The sequence below is a fragment of the Homo sapiens genome, chromosome 4 (assembly GCF_000001405.40).
Source record: "Homo sapiens chromosome 4, GRCh38.p14 Primary Assembly".
In the NCBI taxonomy this organism is placed as follows: domain Eukaryota; kingdom Metazoa; phylum Chordata; class Mammalia; order Primates; family Hominidae; genus Homo; species Homo sapiens.
Genome location: NC_000004.12, coordinates 159,159,307 through 159,179,950, shown reverse-complemented (window position 1 = coordinate 159,179,950; position 20,644 = coordinate 159,159,307). Strand labels below are relative to the sequence as shown.

Genomic DNA, 20,644 nt, shown 5'->3' with positions numbered 1-20,644 from the left:
AACACATTCAATAGGAACCCTTAAAACTTGCACATGAACTGTCTGTCGGCATTTGTACTTCCATAGTCCAAACAAACCTCTAAGTGGTATGAGATTTCAGGCAGCACAACCAAGAGAAATGAAATCTACCAGGAGTTGTAAGGGAGGAGATTTAGGGCATGAAAGGCCACTGCAAAACAATCCAGCTCTGCCCTGCCCAGGAGCTACCCCCACTCCTTTCCTGCCCATAGTGGTCACTCCTATTTCTCCTCCTTCACTTCTCACACAGAAGTTTCAACCTTCATTTCCCCTTAGTTGTTGGCTTTTCTTAAAATAATTAGTTGGCATGGAATTGCCTCTACCAGCAAAAAAACAGAAAGGCAAGTGAGTAAGAATGGGGTGCTGAGAAGTCCCGCTCCTCAAACCAACCTGAAATGTGCAACCATTAGTGAAAACTAAATATGTAGCATCACAGAGCAAGACTTTTCTCTTAAGATGCACAAAGAAATGTATGGCCTTCAGGGAGTTACACTTTTAGATTCTTTTTTTCTCTATGCAAACAAGAAACATTCATAGAAGGAAATTTCAACCAACAACTATAGAAAAATAATGCTGGAGAGTTAAATTACCTAGAGTGTCTCAATTTCCATTTTGGTCAAAAAACTATGACACACAAACTGAAAAATTTCTAACCTTCCCAACTGCACTTCCCAAGACAAATGAAATTCACATGACTACTACTATTTTAAAGGACTCTGAAAAAAAAGTAAGCTATTTTTTCCCCCAAATTCTCTAGTCATTGAGCACAAACAGGAACATGTTGCTTTAACCAGGAAGCAGCATTTTTTAGAACAATAAGTCTTTCGTTTTACCCTAGGAAGGACATCCTTTTTTCAAAATAGATGCTACTTGAAAGTAGACTGAAGTTATAAAACCATGGTAGCACATTGGACAAAGATATTGATAAACCAATAAAGCTTTCCCTTTTTTTGTCCCAAATGTAAACCAGATTCAAAACCCAAAAGCATCCTTTAAGTACTTTAGGGGGGTGATTGTTCACAACCTATCCAAGTCAATCCTCTTGCTCAAAGTCTGTTAACATAATACATGCTAGGTCAGGCGTGGTGGCTCACGCCTGTAATCCCAGCACTTTGGGAAGCCGAGGCGGGTGAATTGCCTGAGGTCAGGAGCTCAAGACCAGCCTGGCTAACATGGAGAAACCCCCGTCTCTACTAAAAATACAAAAACTAGCCGGGCGTGGTAGTGTGCACCTGTAAGCCCAGCTACTTGGGGGGCTGAGGCAGGAGAATCGCTTGAACCCGGGAGGTGGAGGTTGCAGTGAGCTAAAATCGCGCGGCAGCACTCAAGCCTGGGTGACAGAGCGAGACTCCGTCTCAAAAAAAAAAAAAAAAAAAAAAAAGCATAATACATGCTAATGGGAAAGAAGTCAGAGGGAGAGTACCCCACATCCTGGGCTCTCTAATTTCTCCTTAGAGACTCATTCAGAATATATAACGGGCTTCATAGCAAACTTACAATTCACTTACAACTAGCTTTTAGTTTCATTTGTTTGCAGCATCAAGATCTCACTAACAATGTACAGTATGTCGTAATATGATCTTTGGAGAACTGAGAGCAGATTAATATTTCTCCACCTCCTCTCCTGACTGCCTGCCCATACCATATGCTGGTGCAATCCCTCCTATCCTGTATAGACTCTTTGCTGCTTGTACACAACAAAAAATAATGGGGTGGGGGGATTATGTTCCACTGCAGCATGAGAAAAAAGACATATCTTTTTCCTTTAAAAGGGGTTTTGTTTCATATATGAACCTACATATTTAACTGTATTTGGAAGTGGATTGATTCCTTTAAAAAGTCTTTCTTAATGGTCAAGGAAACTGAGGCCAAGACTGTGTCATAATTAGCAGGCCTATGGAGGTTGAGGCCTAAGTGGTAAATGTCTATGGACTTAAACATAAGGAGGAAGAGAAAGGAGCATCTTGCTTAAAGCGACACTGGTCACAGGACCAGAACTGTCCTGATGCCAACATATTCTTCCTTGTTGATCCATCAGAGAGAGGAACTTGGAAAGATAAAAATGAAATTTATCCTTTTGGGCAAAAGATCACTAGCAATGAATTAGAGAGTTACGTCTTGAACATTATTAATAACGGGGTTAAAAGCTAGATTATCCAATGCTCAAATTCACATCTATACCCAAATGGTGAAGGGGCAGAAAAGGGGAAGTTCTGCAAGTTTCATTATGTTTATTGATACGGTATGGTTAAGTGGATATGCTATGGTTAAGCTGCAGTGTTTTATTTAGGAGATCTCAAATACTTCTACACTAAAACATACAAAAGAGCTATCCTAAGAAGGAGAGAGATGTAATAAAAGGAATACAAGCTTTGGAGTCAGATGGGCAGAGTTCAAATCCTGATCCCCACCACTCCCTAGCTGTGTGACCCTGGGTTTGTTAGTGAGACCATATTTGCAAAAGACGGTGAATAATATCTATGCAACTAGGCTGTGTGGCTGAAATTACACATAGTTTCAGTACTGATAGTTTCATGGCAAAATCAGATCCTGGAAAAAAAGGTGATTGAGTTCACTGCCAATGAGATCTGAATAAAAGCACAAGTAATCCTAAGAATATAAAATTTAAAATATTCCTGAGACACTATATATATCAGAATTTTTACAAATTAATGTATCCTTTTATGATGTGTCTGTATGCCAAAAAAAAAAAAAAAAGTTGAATGAATTCTTATAATACTTATAAGGGTCCCTAAATTGTCTGTTTTATAAATCCAGATTTTTATATTAGGTTTAAAGAGAAGTGTACCTGACATATATTTTATCACATCTGTTATAAATATACTTTCCAAATGACATTGGTAAGAAATCTCATATCCTTAAGATTGAGAAAGAGGAGAATGGGGAAATTTTCCAATTTGAAAACAGCCACTTAATTTTTCCTCCAAGAAAGATTGGCTAGGAACATATTTAAGACTGGCAGAGCTGGACAACAAACTGTAAGTATTTTCCTCTCTAATGTAAGTTTACCTTCCATAGCTCAAGACTGTTTTACAACACTTAAAATGAAGTCGTTAAAAAAAATTCTGCATGCATTCCATTAACATTTGGACCTACAGACTTTCTACCTTTAAAACATTCCTTATAATATTTACACTTCACTCTTAACATTGTTTAAAATTACAAGAGGTTTCCCACAAGTTTCAGGTCACATTGGAGTTACTGAAACTGACTTTGAAGACCTAATTTAATTTAGCACCGTTCTTGGATATTTTTTCATCTGTGGATGGTATTAGAAAACAAATTAAAATTTTGTATATATTTTCTTCCAAAATATATCCACACAACTGAAGTATTATTTGAAAAAAACCTGTTATATTGAAGTAATTCAATATAACACATCAGTAGCATATTGTCAGGTTAAACCTTTTTAACATTTTTTTGCAGTATTTCCCAAAATATGCCCCACAGTACCTTGTCCTATACAACATTGTATAGCATATATTTCTGCCAGGTTCACAAACTACATTAAAGTTCATGCAGGAGAGGGACTAATAACTTTACCCACGAATTTCCCAAACAAGGCTAATGCTGTCTTTGAGGTGGGGGCGGAGGGTGCCTGTTACCTCCAGAGCACGTATCTGCTAACACTGTGTCAAGCACACCATGTTCAAACCACCTCGTTCCAAGGCTCCCCACACTGGAATGAAACCCAAACACCAACAACCTCTTGTACCCTTTCCACATGATGACCAGCAGTCTTTGGGTACAGCCTAACACAAAGTCCCTCCAAACACTCTTCCATCCTCCTCTGCTCCAAGACCCCATTTAACACTGGCAGTGAACACTTCCTTTCTGAGCCTCTAAAGTTCTTACCACCTTGACCATTCACATTAGGGCCTTCACATGTGCTCTATGTGGGCACTTTAATAGGTTTGTATTTTATGTCCTCGATCAGAGAAGCACCTTGAACAAAGACACTCGTCTTCTCTTACATCTCTTTCTCAGCTCTGCATCTAGCAACGAACGGTGGATGTGCTGGGTGCAAAGAAAGAAAAGGGCAACATTCCTGCAGGGGTGGTGGTATGCATGATCTTAAGCACTCCCTGAGAACAGGGAGAGAAAGAAATGCAGGAAATGTGTTTTCAATCTGTGTGTTACGGCTTCAGAAAACTCACACCTATACAGGCTGAAATAATTCTGTAAATAACCACAAGGTGGCAGACTGGACCAACCGTCCTTCCTAGAACCCAAAAGCAGTCGCCGGTCTCGCAAGTGAGTCAACACAGAGATGGGGGTTTAAAGCATTCCTGAAGATCATCTTAAAGAATATGATGATTCCTTTCTCTTTATGTCCCTGACGAAAAGGGGCAGGAAGTCGGGAACAAGTCCATCAGCACTCCTATTAAAACTGTTTAACTTCTATCATCCTTAGCAGGGAAATGTTTATTTTAAAACAGCCTCCCCAGATCTTTGTAAAGCACCAGAGCAAATAAAACAAAAATGTCATATCACCAGCCTGCTGAGGTGCTTTGTGCATCCGAGTGACTCATACCCCAGAGTTACATCATCACATACTTTTGAACAATGTAAGAAAAAAAATCCATAGCAGAGTGTATGGTTTTCAAAAAAAAAATTATTATTTTAGAGTTACAATAATTACTTTAACCCTAAATCATATGAAGGCAAAATACTGTTTCTGAACTTACTAATTTACACCCAAAAGAAAAACAATCTCCTAGGATTGTGATTTCATTCAAATTCACATCAAAGCCCAGGAAAACCTGATAATGACATTACTGGTCATTGCTGATAAGGCCCTCGTATATTTCTTCAGCCTCGGATTCCTAAACATTATAAGACACATGTATGGCTTAAACTTTATTAAGACATATGTATGGCTGAGTGCAGCCATATATGTAATCCCCACAAATGGCTTGAGTCCAAGTTTGAAACCAACATGGGAAACACAGTGAGACCCATCTCTATAGAGAAAAAAGAAAACAAAATTAGCCAGGTGTGGTGACGAGCACCTGTGGTCCCAGTTACTGGAGAAGCTGAGGTAGGAGAATCACTTGAGCCCGGGAAGTTAAGGCTACAGTGTGCTGTCACTGTGCCAATGCACTCCATTCTGGGCAACAGAGCAAGACCCTATCTCAAAAAAAAAAAAAAGAAAGAAAGAAAAGACATGTATGAAGAATGCTAGAAGTAAATTATAAAGACTCAAGTCATTCCCTGTTTGTCTAAAACTTCTTCAGGTTTCTTTTCCAGAGGAAAAAAATAAACAAATCAATCAAAAAACTTCCTCAAGTGTTTTCCACTGAAAAAGGCATGCTTTTTTAGACTGAGTTTTTGAACAATTCCTAAACTTGAGACAAAGGTGATTAGTAATTACCTCATTAATTAGCCATAAAAATTACAAAACAGACTTGTAAATTACAACAAAACACTCTTTTATCCCATTCGTCTTCTAATTCAAGTTGGTGTCAGGGAGCCCCAGAGCAGTCAAGTGTCAAGGGACAAGAGCTGAAGAAGGTACCAAGTACTTCATAAATTTTAAGGGACAGATGAAGTATCATCTATAATCTGCATTCTCAAAGAGTTTATCTCTCATTGAAGAAAACACAAGGGTTAAATGATATAGTCACAACAGAAGTCACAGGCAGTTTTTATGATTACCAACTGGGTGTTATGTTTAGCAACCTAAAATGCATACTATGCACCATGTTAATTGTCACGTCCCTGGGAAAAATGATCCCGTAAGCAAGTTTCACTTGTTAAGTTACGATTTTTCATTAGAAGAAGCAACAATTTAGTTTTCACCAAAAACTCATTTTGTTAACAAATAAGAAAAGAGAAAGTGTCCAAAATCAGTTCGCAATTCCTGTTTTCAAGAGTCAGTATAAATATTTCCCCTTCAGAACAATGTATTACACCACCAAGCCTACAGCTTCCCAGAATTGCCATCTCTTAGGCAGCAAAAATACATTTAACAAAAGATATCTTCATTTTAAAAGTATCTTATTTTAATAGACTCTCAGACTGCAATATTTGTAGTCAAATTTTAATTTACATGTGTAGATTAACATACTATATTTGCACTGGTTTTTTCCATCAAAAGTTAGCAGGCTGTGAATGATTACATTTAACATTTAAGTAAAACAACCAAAAACAGAAATCAGCTGCGTATACACACAGAGAACAGAGGCACAGACATACACTCTCTCTCTAATAAAATGATTCCTGAACTATCTTCAATTTCAATTAAAAAATAACATCAACCAAACACCTTCCCCACAAATTCTCCTCTATCAGTAGAGTTAAAACCTTCAGCTTGGTGTTCAATTCATTTCCCAAATACAGTCTGGCTCCAGTTAAACCTCCTAGAAACCTTGTTGAGCTGGGGGTGGACAGACAGGGGCTGCTATACATCATTCCACTGAACTCCTATCTCCGCAACAAAGGGCCATAGAGTCTGCACAAATCACCCTCAGGAAACCTCAAGTTTCTAATACCAACCTAATTCCAGAGGCACTATCAACAGCACTCATTTTGAACATTCACTGTACAAATCTCAATAGTCCTACCACGGTAGAGTTTAGATAGTCTTAATAAAAGCAAAGCGGAATAGGTCACTGAGGACACCAGTTCTTTATTGCCTCTTAGCAAAAAAGAAGTACTCTTTGAATGGAAGGTTTTAAATATAGAAAATTTCATTGTAGCCATTTTTCTAGGACAAAAGACAAAAATAATTTGACATCTGTTTTTCCCATCTTGAATGTTTTACCAAGGAGTCAACCACCAATAGTACTACTTATTCTCAAATTTTCTATTTCTCAAGAGGACAGGAGAAGCAAATGAGAATATTCGACATATGTAATTAAAGCCTTCCACTATTGGTCAGAAAATGAGCTAAAATGCTAAAGAAATTTTAGGTCTGTTCAAAATTGATCTCTTTTAGACCTATCCATGAAAGGTGAAGGAGCAGAGAAGAGGAATAGTTTATCCAATCAGATAAACTATTTAGGGAAAGGGTGCAGAGGAGGGCAGTTACAGAAAATGCTGGGTATTACTGAATTTCAAAGAAGAATCAGAGACTTAAAAATATGTAAAAATATGTATTTTCTAATCAAGTGCTCCACTAGAAGGGACAGCAAGTTATAGTTTCTGAAGTATCTCACCTTTCAATACATGTTTTGAATTCTCCTTTGAAGCTAAGAATCTCACTTTACTTATCCTACTGATAACTGTTCTACCTCCCCCACTTACAGAGGAAGTAGCATGCGTGCATTACAACTTAAAATTGTACATGTGTACATTTGATTTATATGACAGACTCCATCACATTCATAAATAAGTAGACCTTTACCTTCACAACATTGATACTCTGACATCCCACCCCCAACATTTAAAGCCCTCAGATCATCATTACCAAGATTCTCCAGAAATCAGAAGGAAGCAAAGAGCCCTTGGGGTGGTAAGAGTGAATATCCTATGAAGTCAATTACTGCAGAGCAGCCATCACAATCAGAAAGGAACATGAATAGGGAAGGTAGGAGAACGGTTCCCAACTTCACATTTCCTAAAATACTTGTGCATAACTTAAAATGTGTGTTGCCTCAGGGCCAGTGTTATAAAGGGTGGTTGGGTCTATCAGCTACTGCATCCGAGAACTACAGGACCCATACAGGAAGAAGGAAAAGGAAGCTATAAAATATTTTCTTGGTAAAAGATTTCAAAGAAGGCTAGTGAAAAGGTTCCAAATGTAGGTCCACCAGAGAATTCTCACTAGTGTGTGGCAAAATGAGAGATTAAGGACAATGAGTTGAGATCCTTGATAAGCTTAATGTATTCCATTTAAAGAGTTCTCCTTTATTGTGGGACTGTAACCTTCCCTTTTTTTTATAATGTCATTACTTGAAATTATATTGATACTAGATAGTAGTTCACTGTTTTATCTAATATCCTTAACAGAAGAAATGTTTTAAGTTGCCTACCCTATTTTGGTGCTGTAACTCTTGAACGGTAGTATGAAGGGCAATGGTCTTGGCTTGATGAAAATCCAAAAACTTGGGACACTTGTCTCTGACACCTACCTAAAGCAATCTTACTGAGTGAGTGAGGTGACTGCAAAGTTGCAGAATTATTTACCTTTTACTTCCGGCTCTTATTCTCTATGAAAACTTTCCAGAAAAAAGTATTCTAGGTATTTTGACCCTATCCCATGAAAGATTCTTAAAAAAAAAAATTTAAGAGACACTCCTTTTACATGAAAGATATCTCTAGAACTACTAGTGGAACTCTGGGCCTTGGTATAGAACGAAAAATTTGCAAAATGATGTAGGAAGATGTTGTGGACAGAACAGGTAATCACAGTGCACCTTTCCAGGCAATTCCCCTGCATACTCTCTGCTTGCCAGGCCACTAGGCAGATGAGTCACTTGAGCAACACTGACTGAGTTCAGTATCTGACTGCCATTTACCAGCTTGGCATCCCTGAACAAGTCACTCAACCTCTCTGTGGCTCAGTCTCTCCACCCGTAAAATAGGAATAATAAGAGTATCTAAGATTTTCTAAGCGAATCATCAGTGCCTTGACGTGTAGTAGGCACTTTCTTTTATGAACACTGGCATGTGGAACATTATTGTTGTTCAAGTTAAAGGTAATTATGAAAATCAAACGGAGAGGAGTGCCTCAGGGTGAAGGAGGTTATCAGTAACTCTTTGGCTTCTGCCAAAATATGTCAGGCTGCAGAGATTTCCTACAACATACTCAAAACAGCATTTTAGTTTATCTTTTTTGTTTTCTTAGATAATGTCTGGTCTTAAAGTAAAATAACAATGTTGCAACACTCTAATAGTAGACCACTTAAGAAGTAGACAGGGTAACAGAACAGAGAGATCAGAAATAAATCCACCATTTACAGTCAACTGATTCTCAAAAAAGGTACCAAGAGCACACAATGGGGGAAAGAAGAGTCTCTTCAATAAATGATGTTGAGAAAACTGGGTATCTACACATGCAGAAGAATAAAATTAGACCCTTATTAATACCATACACAAAATAAACTCAAAATAAAGACTTAAACGTAAGACCTGGAACCGTAAAACTAATAGTAGAAAACATCTGAAAAGTTCCATGACATTGGTACAGGCAATAATTTTCTGGAAATGACCCCAAAAGTAAAGGCAACAAAATCAAAAATAGATGAATGGGATCACATCAAACTAAAAAGTTTCTGTATAGCCAAGAAAACAGTTGGGCTAAAGAGACAACCTACAGAATGGGAGGAAATAAAGCTGACCCTTAGTATCCATGATGGGTTGCTTCCAGAACCCGCCCCCGAGGATTTTCCTTATATAAAATGGCATAGGGTTTGCGTGTAGCCTATGCACATCCTTCCATATATTATCTCTAGATTACTTATCGTATCTAATGCCATGTAAATACTATGTGAATAGTTGGTGTTATACTGTATTGTCTTTTTTACTGTATTAGTTTTTACTGTTGTATTGTTTGTTTATTGGTTTTTTAAAATATCTTCGATCCATGGTTGGTTGAATCTGCAGGTGCAACCTGAGTGTATGGAGGGCTGACTGTATTTGCAAACCATACACCTGATAGGGGGTTAATATACAAAATATATAAGAAAAACAACTCAATAGCAAAAAAACACAAGTAACCCAATTTCAAAATAGGAAAAGGACCTGAATAGACATTTCTCAAAAGACTACAAATAGCCAACAGGTATATGAAAAAATGTTCAAGATCACTAATCATCCAAGAAATGCAAATTAAAACCACAACAAAACCTCATACATGTAAGAATGGCTGTTTAAAAAAAAAAAAAGAGATGAGCATTGAAGAGGATGTGAAGAAAAGAGAAATTCTCACTGTTGATGAGAATGTAAATTAGTATATTCATTATGGAAAACAGTATGGAGGTTCCTGCAAAAAAATTAAAAATAGGACTACCATATGATCAAGCGGTCCCACTACTGGCTATATATTCAAGGAAATGAAATCACTATGTTGAAGAGATGCCTGCACTCCCATGTTCACTGCACCATTATTCACAACAGCTGAGATACGGAATCAACCTAAACGTCCCTCAATGGATGGATGAAGAAAGTGCGGTATATAGGTATAACAGAATATTAGCCTTAAAAAAAATGAAATCCTATTATTTATGACAATATAAATGAACCTGGAGGATATGTTAAGTGAGATAAGCCAGGCGTACAAAGGCAAATACTGTGTGATTTCATCTATATGTAGAATCTAGAGAAGTTGAATTCACAGGAGTAGAGAGTTCCCACAGTGGTCACAAGGGGCTGGGGAGGGGGGGCTGTTGGGGAGATGTTGATCAAATGACACAAAATTAGCTAGGAGGAGTAAGTTCAAGAGCTCTAATGTACAACATGGTAACTACAGTTAACAACAATATATTGTATTCTTAAATCACTAAGTAAATTTTAAGTGTTCTAACCACAAAAAATAAGTTGAGGTAATATGTATGTTAATTGGCTCAATTTGGCTATTCCACAATGTATGCATATTTCAAATCACGTTGTACACCATAAATACCTATAATTTTTATGTATCAATTTTAAAAATAAACTTTTAAAAACAAGAGAACAGCAGAATTTGACGTGTAATTGAGTATTTAATTAAACACACATTTTTTTTCCTAATACAAATGACAACTTTTATTTAGTCTCAAATTTCCACATAGATTGGGAGTTGAGGGGGGTTCCAAAATCTGTTCAGATGTTATCCTTTCCCTTCATTTGCAGTTCACTGGTCAATTCAAAGTATTGAATACTTGCTCTGTGCAAAGCACTGTGCTGGGATGTTGCCTTGGGGATACAAAGGTTGGTACAATATACTCTGGTCCTCAAAGAAACTCAGTTTGCTAGAATAGATAAAAGATTCTCACAAATGGCCACAATGCAAGATAGAAATTCAATTATGAATAACGGTTGTCAGAAGACAAGTTTTCTTACTCCCAAATTCACAAATGCTTTCTTCCACTCTACCACTGCTGCCAGCTGATATCAAAACTTCTATATCCTATCACATATATTCTTCTCTTCTAGCCTTTGATCCTCAAGCTACCTACAAAGCAATTATATGAAAAATAATAAATACCCATAACTTCTCATTCTTTCCATTGGAAAACTGTTACTGAGTACCTCCTACGCATAATGAAACGTGACCGTATCCTACATGTATCATCAGGTCCTTTTATCATTAGAAAAGAGGTGTCGTTTTCAAAGTATACCCTTTTACTATTTAAATTTATGACAGTTCAATAATAATTTAATATAAAGTGATGTCTTCTGCCAAAATGTACTAATAAATCTGCATGCTCTTGGGGATGAAACCCAACTTGGCAGAACCACCAGCTGTGCTGAACCATGTGTGGGGCCTGGCTGCCCGGCATCTAGTCTGCCTCCTTTGCAATGAACTGGGGAGGGAAAATAAAAATAAAAAGGGGAGGCCAAGGATGGATTTGTTTCCTGACTGTTCACTGGTCATTCACTGTAATGTTCTGGCTATCAAATGCACGCATAGGTATGTGTGCTTCAAGAATACCTGGAAATACATTCCTTTGAATATTGTAATTAGTAGTAATTCCTCAGCCTTTCTGGGGAGATTTGGCTTGTGAAAACATTCAACATACTCACCCAGACTTAAGCCTGGTAAAGGGGTTGAATATATTTAAGTTCAATCAGGCTCAAAAACAACATACTGTTGTATGAAAGTAAAGAGGTAACTTCCTTGTAGAATTCACTAAACAACTCTGGCAATAACCCCAACATAAATTCTAAACCTGTTTTGAGTAATGGCACCAAGGTTTTTATAAAAACTGCGTCACTGGACAACATGACAAAATTTCAAGATCATACATATTTACACATATGAGCCTCACCACCTTATTTTTAAATTTCATTTCATCATAGTTGATCCTAATTTTTACTGTAATAGAAAAATGTTAGTAAATCAAAGACAACAATACTTGTGGAAGTAAATCTACCACTACATTAAACAGGTACATTCCTTTGGTCCATTTTCTCAACTATCCAGTTATTGTATAACTTTTGGGAATCTGATCTTTGCCCCTAAATTTACTGAAATTTGTTTCTCCAAGATCACCAGTGATCTCTTTAAAGCAAATCCTTTTTTCTTCTTGTGCCAAGAATAGTGTCAAGCTCTATTCTAGATGCCAGGAACACACTAGCATACAAAACAGAGAAAATCATTGTCCTTTCTAGTAAGACAAACAATATTAAATAGAACATTTTTTAAAATTTGACAGTGACACACAAGAAGAAAAAAAATCACAAAAGGAAAGGGTATGAAACTTCGGGAAGGCACCCAGTGCTGTGTGGCCAGTCCTTCCCCTTGGGTCTTTCCCGGCCCAACATGGGCTCTGCAGTCTCTCCATGTTAGGTACTCCCAGGGCTGGGCTTTGAACCGTCATTCTTCTTCATAAGGATCCTTCCCTAAGATATCGCATCTATTCTCAGCCTATCTTTACAACTGACTCCTGGACTCTGACTTTTTTTTACAAACCACCACAATTCCCAGCTGATTAGTTACCATTTGAAGCTGCTGAAGCGTCATTTCAAATGGTAACTAAACTTCACACTAAATTTCCCCCAAAAAACTGGCCACATGTTTAGATTTCTCTACTTCTGGTGCCTGCACCAGTGTCCCAGCTATTCCAGTGAAAACCACGTAGGAGTTTTCAACTTAGTAGCAACTATTTTCTCTTTTTTCACACATTTAATGAGTCGTGGTTTTTTTTAATCCTGTAAAGTCTCCTGTCATACTTTTCTTTTTGATTTCTATTTTCTATGCCATGGTCATTTCGGGGCCTTCTCTTCTTTCACCATGTACAACATAAACCAATTAAAGGACCCCAAGTCATTTTTTAGGCGGTTGCCCTACCCTGCTGTAATATGTCCCTTGATCACCAAATTTCAACTGTGTTACACAGGCACATCATGCAGCATCTGAGGTCTATTCCAGTGTTTGCCCACATCAGCATCCACTACCCAATCCATCCTGATGGGCAACTCAACTCATATCCTCAGAGAAACCTTTTTGGACCCCTTCTCTAATCTCATCAACATTTACTCATGTATCACAAATAAGGAAGTTTTCATATGTTCATTTTTATTGTCGGTTTTTTTAATGTATATATGAAATACCTGAGTAAACAAGACAATATAGACACTACTCAATAAAGACTGTATTGCTCCCATACAGGGACCATACCCTATACCTCTTTTTACTCCCCACAATCCCTAGGAAACTGGATTCTGGAATTCTGGAACTCAAGTGGCAGAAAGCTCTGTAGCAATGGCTGTGTTAACTTCTCTAGGTTAACTACAAAGTAGATCAACAAAGTAATGAGACTAAAATCCCACAGCAGAGGTAAAAATGCATGTCTGATCAATACTTATTATCTGCAAAACAGTACATTTCCTCTAGACGCACTCACCCCTCACCCCACAGGCCTCTGCCACACCCAGTCTCATTGCCAGAGCCCTGAGGGTTTGCTCAGTTTTGATTTATGCCTCTGCCCTTTTCCTTACATTTTTTTTTTGAGATGGAGTCTTGCTCTGTTGCCCAGGCTAGAGTGCAGTGGCATGATCTCGGCTCACTGCAACCTCCGCCTCCTGGGTTCAAGCAATTCTCCTGCCTCAGCCTCCCAAGTAGCTGGGACTACAGGTGCCCGCCACCACGCCCAGCTAATTTTGTGTATTTTTAGTAGAGATGGGGTTTTGTCATGTTGGCCAGGCTGGTTTCAAACTCCCAACCTTGTGATCCACCCACCTCCCAAAGTGCTGGGATTACAGGTGTGAGCCAATGCTCCCGGCCCCTTTTCCTTACATCTTTGGAGCACTAATCCACTTTTGACTAGTCCTACTTCCTAATTTCTTATTTCATTGTTCAATGACTTTTTAAAAAAATCTTTCTTGTAACCTCTGTGATTTCTTTTCACATTTTCCAAAATGTCCATTGTTAGCTAGGCACAGTGGTTCATGCCTGTAATCGCAGCACTTTGGGAGGCAGAGGCTGGAGGACTGCCTGAGCCCATAAATTCGAGACCAGCCTGGGCAACATAGCGAGACCCCAACCCTACAAAAACTAAACAAATTAGCTGGGCATTGGGGTAGGCGCCTGTAGTCTTTCCCTACTCAAGAGGCTGAAGTCAAGACTGCAGTGAACTGTGATCCTGCCACTGCACTCCGGCCTGGTCAACGGATTGAGACCCTCTCTCAAAAAAACAAACAAAAATCCATTGTTTACACAATCTGATGTCCAGTATCCAACATGCTAAAATGAAAATACCTGCTCTTATATTCAACCTGATATGAATTATTCACTAATGATAACCTGACTTCAAAAACCTTTAGGCAAAGAGAAGACACATTTAATTATATTTATGTATACAGATAGAGATATATAGATATACATACAATTATATAAAATAATTACCAAAACATATCCGATCTGAATGATTTCCTCCAAGTTAAAAATGTATTGACTTTAAAATAAACATGAAAATGAACCAGGTAGGAAAAAATAGTTACTCCAGAAAAGATTAAAACTTTGTACCAGTTGGTCTATTTTAATGTTCTATTTTATAAAGTAGTATTTAAAACAAGACTCCTTTGTAATGAGTCATCATTTAATTAATATCCAAATACCTTGAGAGCCCATAACAGTTCAACAAAACAGCTGGAAATCAAATATCGGAGATAATTACTCACAGCTGGCTTTATTCAACTGATGTCATATTAAATAAGCTTATCCTACAGACCTTTTCCCCTTCCCCAAAAAAGAAAAAAAAAATTCTTTAAGAAACATAGAAGGCTCTTTGTGTGAGATTTTTTTAAATGTGCAGAATATATTCCTCTACTAAAGATTTTCAACAGTATGTTAAAGATTTTCAGCAGGAATACACTGCTGTATTTTATACCATCCTGTGTGCTTGCAATATTTTGAACTTCATTTTTCTTAAAACAAAAATAGCAAACTGAACTAAGTCACAAAATACGCTGGAAAGCTAAATTTTTATGATCCTAGCAGTCAGTTTTACTATTTTGATATTGGGCTAAATTTATTATTTTTGTAGCGACGTCACATCTCAACAGCTTAGTAATATAAACTATCAAACCAAAATATCAGTTTCAAGCTTACTGTTTCAAGCCATTATTTAAACCATTGCATTGTACTGTACCACCCACATTATATGAATGTATTCATATAAATGATTTATCAACAATAACTACCTATTATATGCCAGACACTGTGCTGAATATTCTATATTATCTCTAATTTCCATGAAATTTCACATGTAGATAATTTATATCTAATAATCACCAAAAGGAAAGATATCAAAGACAGTTTTCAAACTGCTACACACATACACTAACTCCATAATAAGCCAGGTTATTATTATCTGCTACAGTAGAATTTTCAAATCCAAAATACAGATATTTTCGTTTTCACTCCTCTCATTCATTCAAATTTGTTCTTATATTCTCTCCCCTTCTCCTTCCTGTCTCTCCCGTTTAATAAAGAAGAAGAAGGAAAAAAAAAAAAAAACAGCCGGGTGCAGTGGCTCACGCCTGTAATCCCAGCACTTTGGGAGGCTGAGGCGGGCGGATCACAAGGTCAGGACATCGAGACCATCCTGGCTAACACGGTGAAACCCCGCCTCTACTAAAAATACAAAAAATTAGCTGGGTGTGGTGGTGGGCGCCTGTAGTCCCAGCTACTCAGGAGGCTGAGGCAGGAGAATGGCGTGAACCCAGGAGGTGGAGCTTGCAGTGAGCTGAGATTGCGCCACTGCACTCCAGCCTGGGGGACACGGCGAGACTCCGTCTCAAAAAAAAAAAAAACTACCAGTACTACTGATACATGTTATCATTATCTACCCAACAAACTTTGAAGTCATATTTTATGAAACCTCACAAGTAGCCCTGATATGTGAGATACAACCTAAGTTTGCTCATTTTATCCATGTACTATAATTTCTTCACACTCATCTAGACAGACCCCTGATGTGATTTTTACTGATGTAATAATCCCTTTGTTTTTCAGATCCTTTCATCTTTCAGTAACCCCTTCTTGGCATTTTTTAAAACTATACAGTCTCTAGCACACAGTAAGGACTCAATTAAAATGTGCTGAGTCAGTAAATAACTTTTCTTCCAGTACACTAGAAAAAGTGATTTTTATGCTTACCAAAAAATTTAAATAGATTAACACCAAATTTTCTTGACATGTCTTAGACAGTTCCACTGTATTCATTTATGCATTTAAGTAAACATTTTAATCAGATCTTTTATTTTTGCACATAAGCCTAAATTTTGTACAACACATGATACGAGAAATATAAGCTTATATTTAGAGTGCTCTTGAATTTTCACTGAGCTTTTATAAACTTTCTTATTTGCTTTATTCTATCAGTATAAACAACCATTTTTACCACCCCAGAAAAGCAAAGTAATTCTCCATCAAGACAAAGTGCTTATTCAACACTCAACATTTATACCTCACAATAAAATGTCTCCATGATCATCTCTCATTATGTGAGGCACTAACAGGATATTATTGGGGGTTCTGGAGGGAAAAAATTCTGTCACAATTGCCACATTTTACAAATCTGTAAAATAGGTAAAATAATAATGTATAAAATTATTGGAATAAGAAAAACCACCCCACTCTTATAATTGAACCATTTACTTCAAGCATGCCCATCTTTTGGTAAGGATAAATACCTACTAGCTACCTTTTCTGGAATAGTATGATACAAAAAGAAACAAAATTAAGCCCTTTACAAAGCTCAGCAAGTGGTGCACAGTCATCATCAGAAATAACTAACTCCTTTTTGGAACAGGTGTTTCGGAGTGAGGAGGTACCAGGTAACAAAAAGAAGATTCTAGATTATAGTCCACTGCCTAACCTCTCTGGTATTTCATCTATTTCTTCCTCCCTGGGTAATCTTACGGAAAAAAAAATTACAAGGAACAATAAAAGAGACAACTTAAAATGTGTACTTTAATATACCTTGCATGCTGGCACTGTGGGTAACAGACTGATCTCTGGAGCCAGGCTGAGATAAAATCTACACCTCTGCAACTTGCATGGTTTTTAACTGTGGACAAGTTACTTATAACCTGAGAATCAATTCCATTTGAAAACTCAATGCACAGGGTGGCTGAGGGCTATAATCTAGAATCTTCTTTTTGTTACCTGGTACCTCATTAAATGAGAGAACACCAGCAAAACCCTTAGGTTCTATTTTGATAGCTGGCAGACACTGTGCAGATGTAGGCAGGATTTAAGTAGGTTCTACAATCCAGGTTCATTAATATATACAACAAACCTGAATTTTAAGTGTAAAGATTTACGAATATGCTTCCCAGGTGGTTGAAAATTATTTTCTAAGAACAATTATAATAATTAATTTTTTCAATATAAAGATTCCCAGACCTTTTTTTTTTTTTTTAAGAGACAGTATCTCACTCTGTCATCCAGGCTGGAGTGCAGTGTTATCATAGCTCACTGTAACCCCCAAACTCCTGGGCTCAAACAATCCTCTTGCCTTGTACTTGTAGTCCCAGCTACTTGGGACTACAAGTACACGCTACCACATCCAGCTATTTTTTTTTTTTTTTTTTTTGAAGAAACACAGTCTCACTATATTGCTCAGGCGAGTATTAAACTCTTGGCTTTAAGCAATCATCCCACCTCAGCCTCCCAAAGTGCTGGGATTACAAGCACGACCTACCACACCCAGCAAAGATTCCAGATTTTTAACAAACACTTAAAAATATGTTAGAGACAACATATAAATGAACAAAATTTACGGTTTACTTTACAGCTGTTTGCATGCTGCATTCTGCAGATTTTTCTCTCCAGAACGTTATGATGCATGCTTTAAAAGACTATAAAAGTTTAGAATAGATTTGGAAGATAATCTAAATTACTATAGCTCACTTTTTAAAAGTCTTAACTTCCTCTATTAAGCACCAGTTAGATTCTTGAAAGGTATCACCATCCTTGGTTTATGCATCAAACCTGATCACACAAGGAATCAAATTTAATATGTATGAAGATAAGCAATTATGTTTGGCTGTGATTAACTATCATAACTGCCATCACAATCTAAATTTTTTTTATTTTTATTTTTGAGACAGGACCTTGCTCTGTCACCCAGGCTGGAGTGCAGTGGCGTGATCATGGCTCATTGCAGCCTTGACCTCTTGGGCTCACAGGCTCAATCGATCCTCCTGCCTCAGCCCCCTGAGTAGCTGGGACTACAGGCAAGTGTCACCACACCTGGCTAATTTTTGTATTTTTGGTAGAAACAGGGTTTCACCATGTTGCTCAGGCTAGTCTCAAACTCCTGGGCTCGGCAATCCACCTGCCTTGGCCTCCCAAAGTGCTGGGATTACAGGCATAAACCACGGTGCCCAGCCTAAATTATTTCTTCAATTAAGTAACACTTCGCAAAAAGAAAACCTACAGGGAAACTACATATTGTTTATGATACAAATTTTTGAAAATACAATTTTAACTATTCATAAAGAAACTACCTCCAAACACAGTTAACATCTCTTCTAATCACTGGCTTTCTGAAACTAATACCAGAGAAAATATTATTACGAAGTTCAATTTTACTAACAATTGTAATCCCTTTAATTTCTGAAAACAAATTAATACATGAATCTCAAAATCTTTAGGATGACACACAGAAATCCGTTTTTAATGTTTACATCCAGAATGTTTTTTTAATCATACATGGGAATGTCCTCATTTAAGGTACTTTTTTCTTTTATCCCATGTAAATTCCCATCTTATCTTCAATCAGAAGCATTTTTTTAAGCTATGAATTCAAAACCTATGATTAAAAAAAACTTTAATTTCTAATTAGGTTCGGATACTTGATCACTAATATTTCTAATTAGTTTCAAATGGAAGGGTAAAAATGTAATATAGACAAAGCTATAGAAGAAATTTTACCTTTTAAACCCTGATGTGGGTAAGTACACTCCACTTTAAGATGATTTCCTACATCGTACTCAAAAAATTTCATTGTGGAAGAGAAAAAAAAATGATGTACAGGAATAGGTGAATAGAGCATGCACTACAAATTCACTTAAATCAAATCCACTTCCTTTTGGAGTCGTTATTTTAAGGCACAAAGTAACAGATCTTCATCCATATAGTTTGCTACATACAGAAAAAGATATACTGAATATCATGTTAAAGATACATACCTAACTCTGGTCTAAGCTCTGTGCGCAGGCAATGCAGTTAGTTTGAAGTTGACTTTCTTCAAATTGCTACTGAAGTTTGCTATTGAAATAAGTGAAACAAACACTTTCTAGCCATAGTCCCAACACTGCCAACAATATCCATGTTACATGAGTGAGGATTTAAAATCAGAAACAGATGGGTTTGAAGCTTCAGTTCTAGCATTTACTGTGTAATGTATGACCTTAGGCAAAGTATATCAACTGTCCTCATCTGTATAATGTGAGAAAACATGTTCTTCACTGGGTTGGGAGAGAATTAAGTAAGATAAAACAGGCAAAATATAAAGCACAGTGCCTGGCTTTCTGTAAGTATCAGATATTATTAACATTTTATATAAAAGCACAACTATCAGTTGTTGATAGGAAAGAATGGGAATCAGTAAAAGGTACATTTCATAAAATAACTACAATTTTAAATGTGAATAGACATGTGTCTATAGTATACGTAACAGACTAAAGCCTTTGCACAACTAGAAATGTTGAACAAAGATAGCTTCTTGATGAAATAATCTCATTAGACTAAAACAACTATGTAAGTGTCCAATTAATATGAATTCAGCATCACATTTCATACTTAGCTATTAGAGTTTAAATGTGGGTTTTTTTCCATATAGATGAATAAAAGCTTGATTGGAGGGAGATCAATAATACCTGTGTTATAATTGGCTCAATCACATTTTCCCCACAGGATCATCCACCTGATGATCTGAGAACAATAGTATTCCTCCTAAATAAAGAAAAAGGATGCAGCTGCTTCCATCTATAAATAGGATGCTGCTATACGAGTTGAGAACACTATTGTTCACACTGTCAGTTTAAATCACTTCCACATTTCTAATGAAGAGGTCAAGTTGTAGAATTGTTATTATAATCTTGAATGCTGAGAAAAAGTCACTAAAATTTAATTTGCTGTAATATGTGTATGAATAATTTTTCAGTGGTCAGACGATTCTGAAATACTCTTTTTAAGAGACCTCTTGGAACAACACTACACTCAGTTTTCTTGAAAACATCTATAGGTTGATCCCACTATATGTACTTAAATCAAAATAAAAGAATTTTCTTGGAACAACACTACACTCAGTTTTCTTGAAAACATCTATAGGTTGATCCCACTATATGTACTTAAATCAAAATAAAAGAATTTTCTTGGAACAACACTACACTCAGTTTTCTTGAAAACATCTATAGGTTGATCCCACTATATGTACTTAAATCAAAATAAAAGAATTTTCTCCATACAGATTGAAGCAACACATTTTTCCTAAGAGAATAG

At 36.9% G+C, this 20,644-nt stretch overlaps 1 protein-coding gene across 2 annotated transcripts in view, besides 3 other annotated features; it reads right to left on the bottom strand.

The window, feature by feature from the left end:
* Positions 1-20,644, bottom strand: part of RAPGEF2 (Rap guanine nucleotide exchange factor 2) — a 257,095-nt gene that overhangs the window by 180,223 nt on the left and 56,228 nt on the right. The window lies entirely within an intron of this gene.
* Positions 3,833-4,565: an enhancer, noted in NCBI's record as "OCT4-NANOG-H3K27ac-H3K4me1 hESC enhancer chr4:160096538-160097270 (GRCh37/hg19 assembly coordinates)". NCBI's record gives its function as "activates a minimal SCP1, AML or CMV promoter by ChIP-STARR-seq in primed H9 embryonic stem cells {active_cell/tissue: H9 hESC(primed)}" and the evidence as "EXISTENCE:reporter gene assay evidence [ECO:0000049][PMID:30033119]".
* Positions 9,867-9,976: an enhancer, noted in NCBI's record as "active region_22091". NCBI's record gives its function as "activates an Ori minimal core promoter by ATAC-STARR-seq in GM12878 lymphoblastoid cells {active_cell/tissue: GM12878}" and the evidence as "EXISTENCE:reporter gene assay evidence [ECO:0000049][PMID:35858748]".
* Positions 10,217-10,326: an enhancer, noted in NCBI's record as "active region_22090". NCBI's record gives its function as "activates an Ori minimal core promoter by ATAC-STARR-seq in GM12878 lymphoblastoid cells {active_cell/tissue: GM12878}" and the evidence as "EXISTENCE:reporter gene assay evidence [ECO:0000049][PMID:35858748]".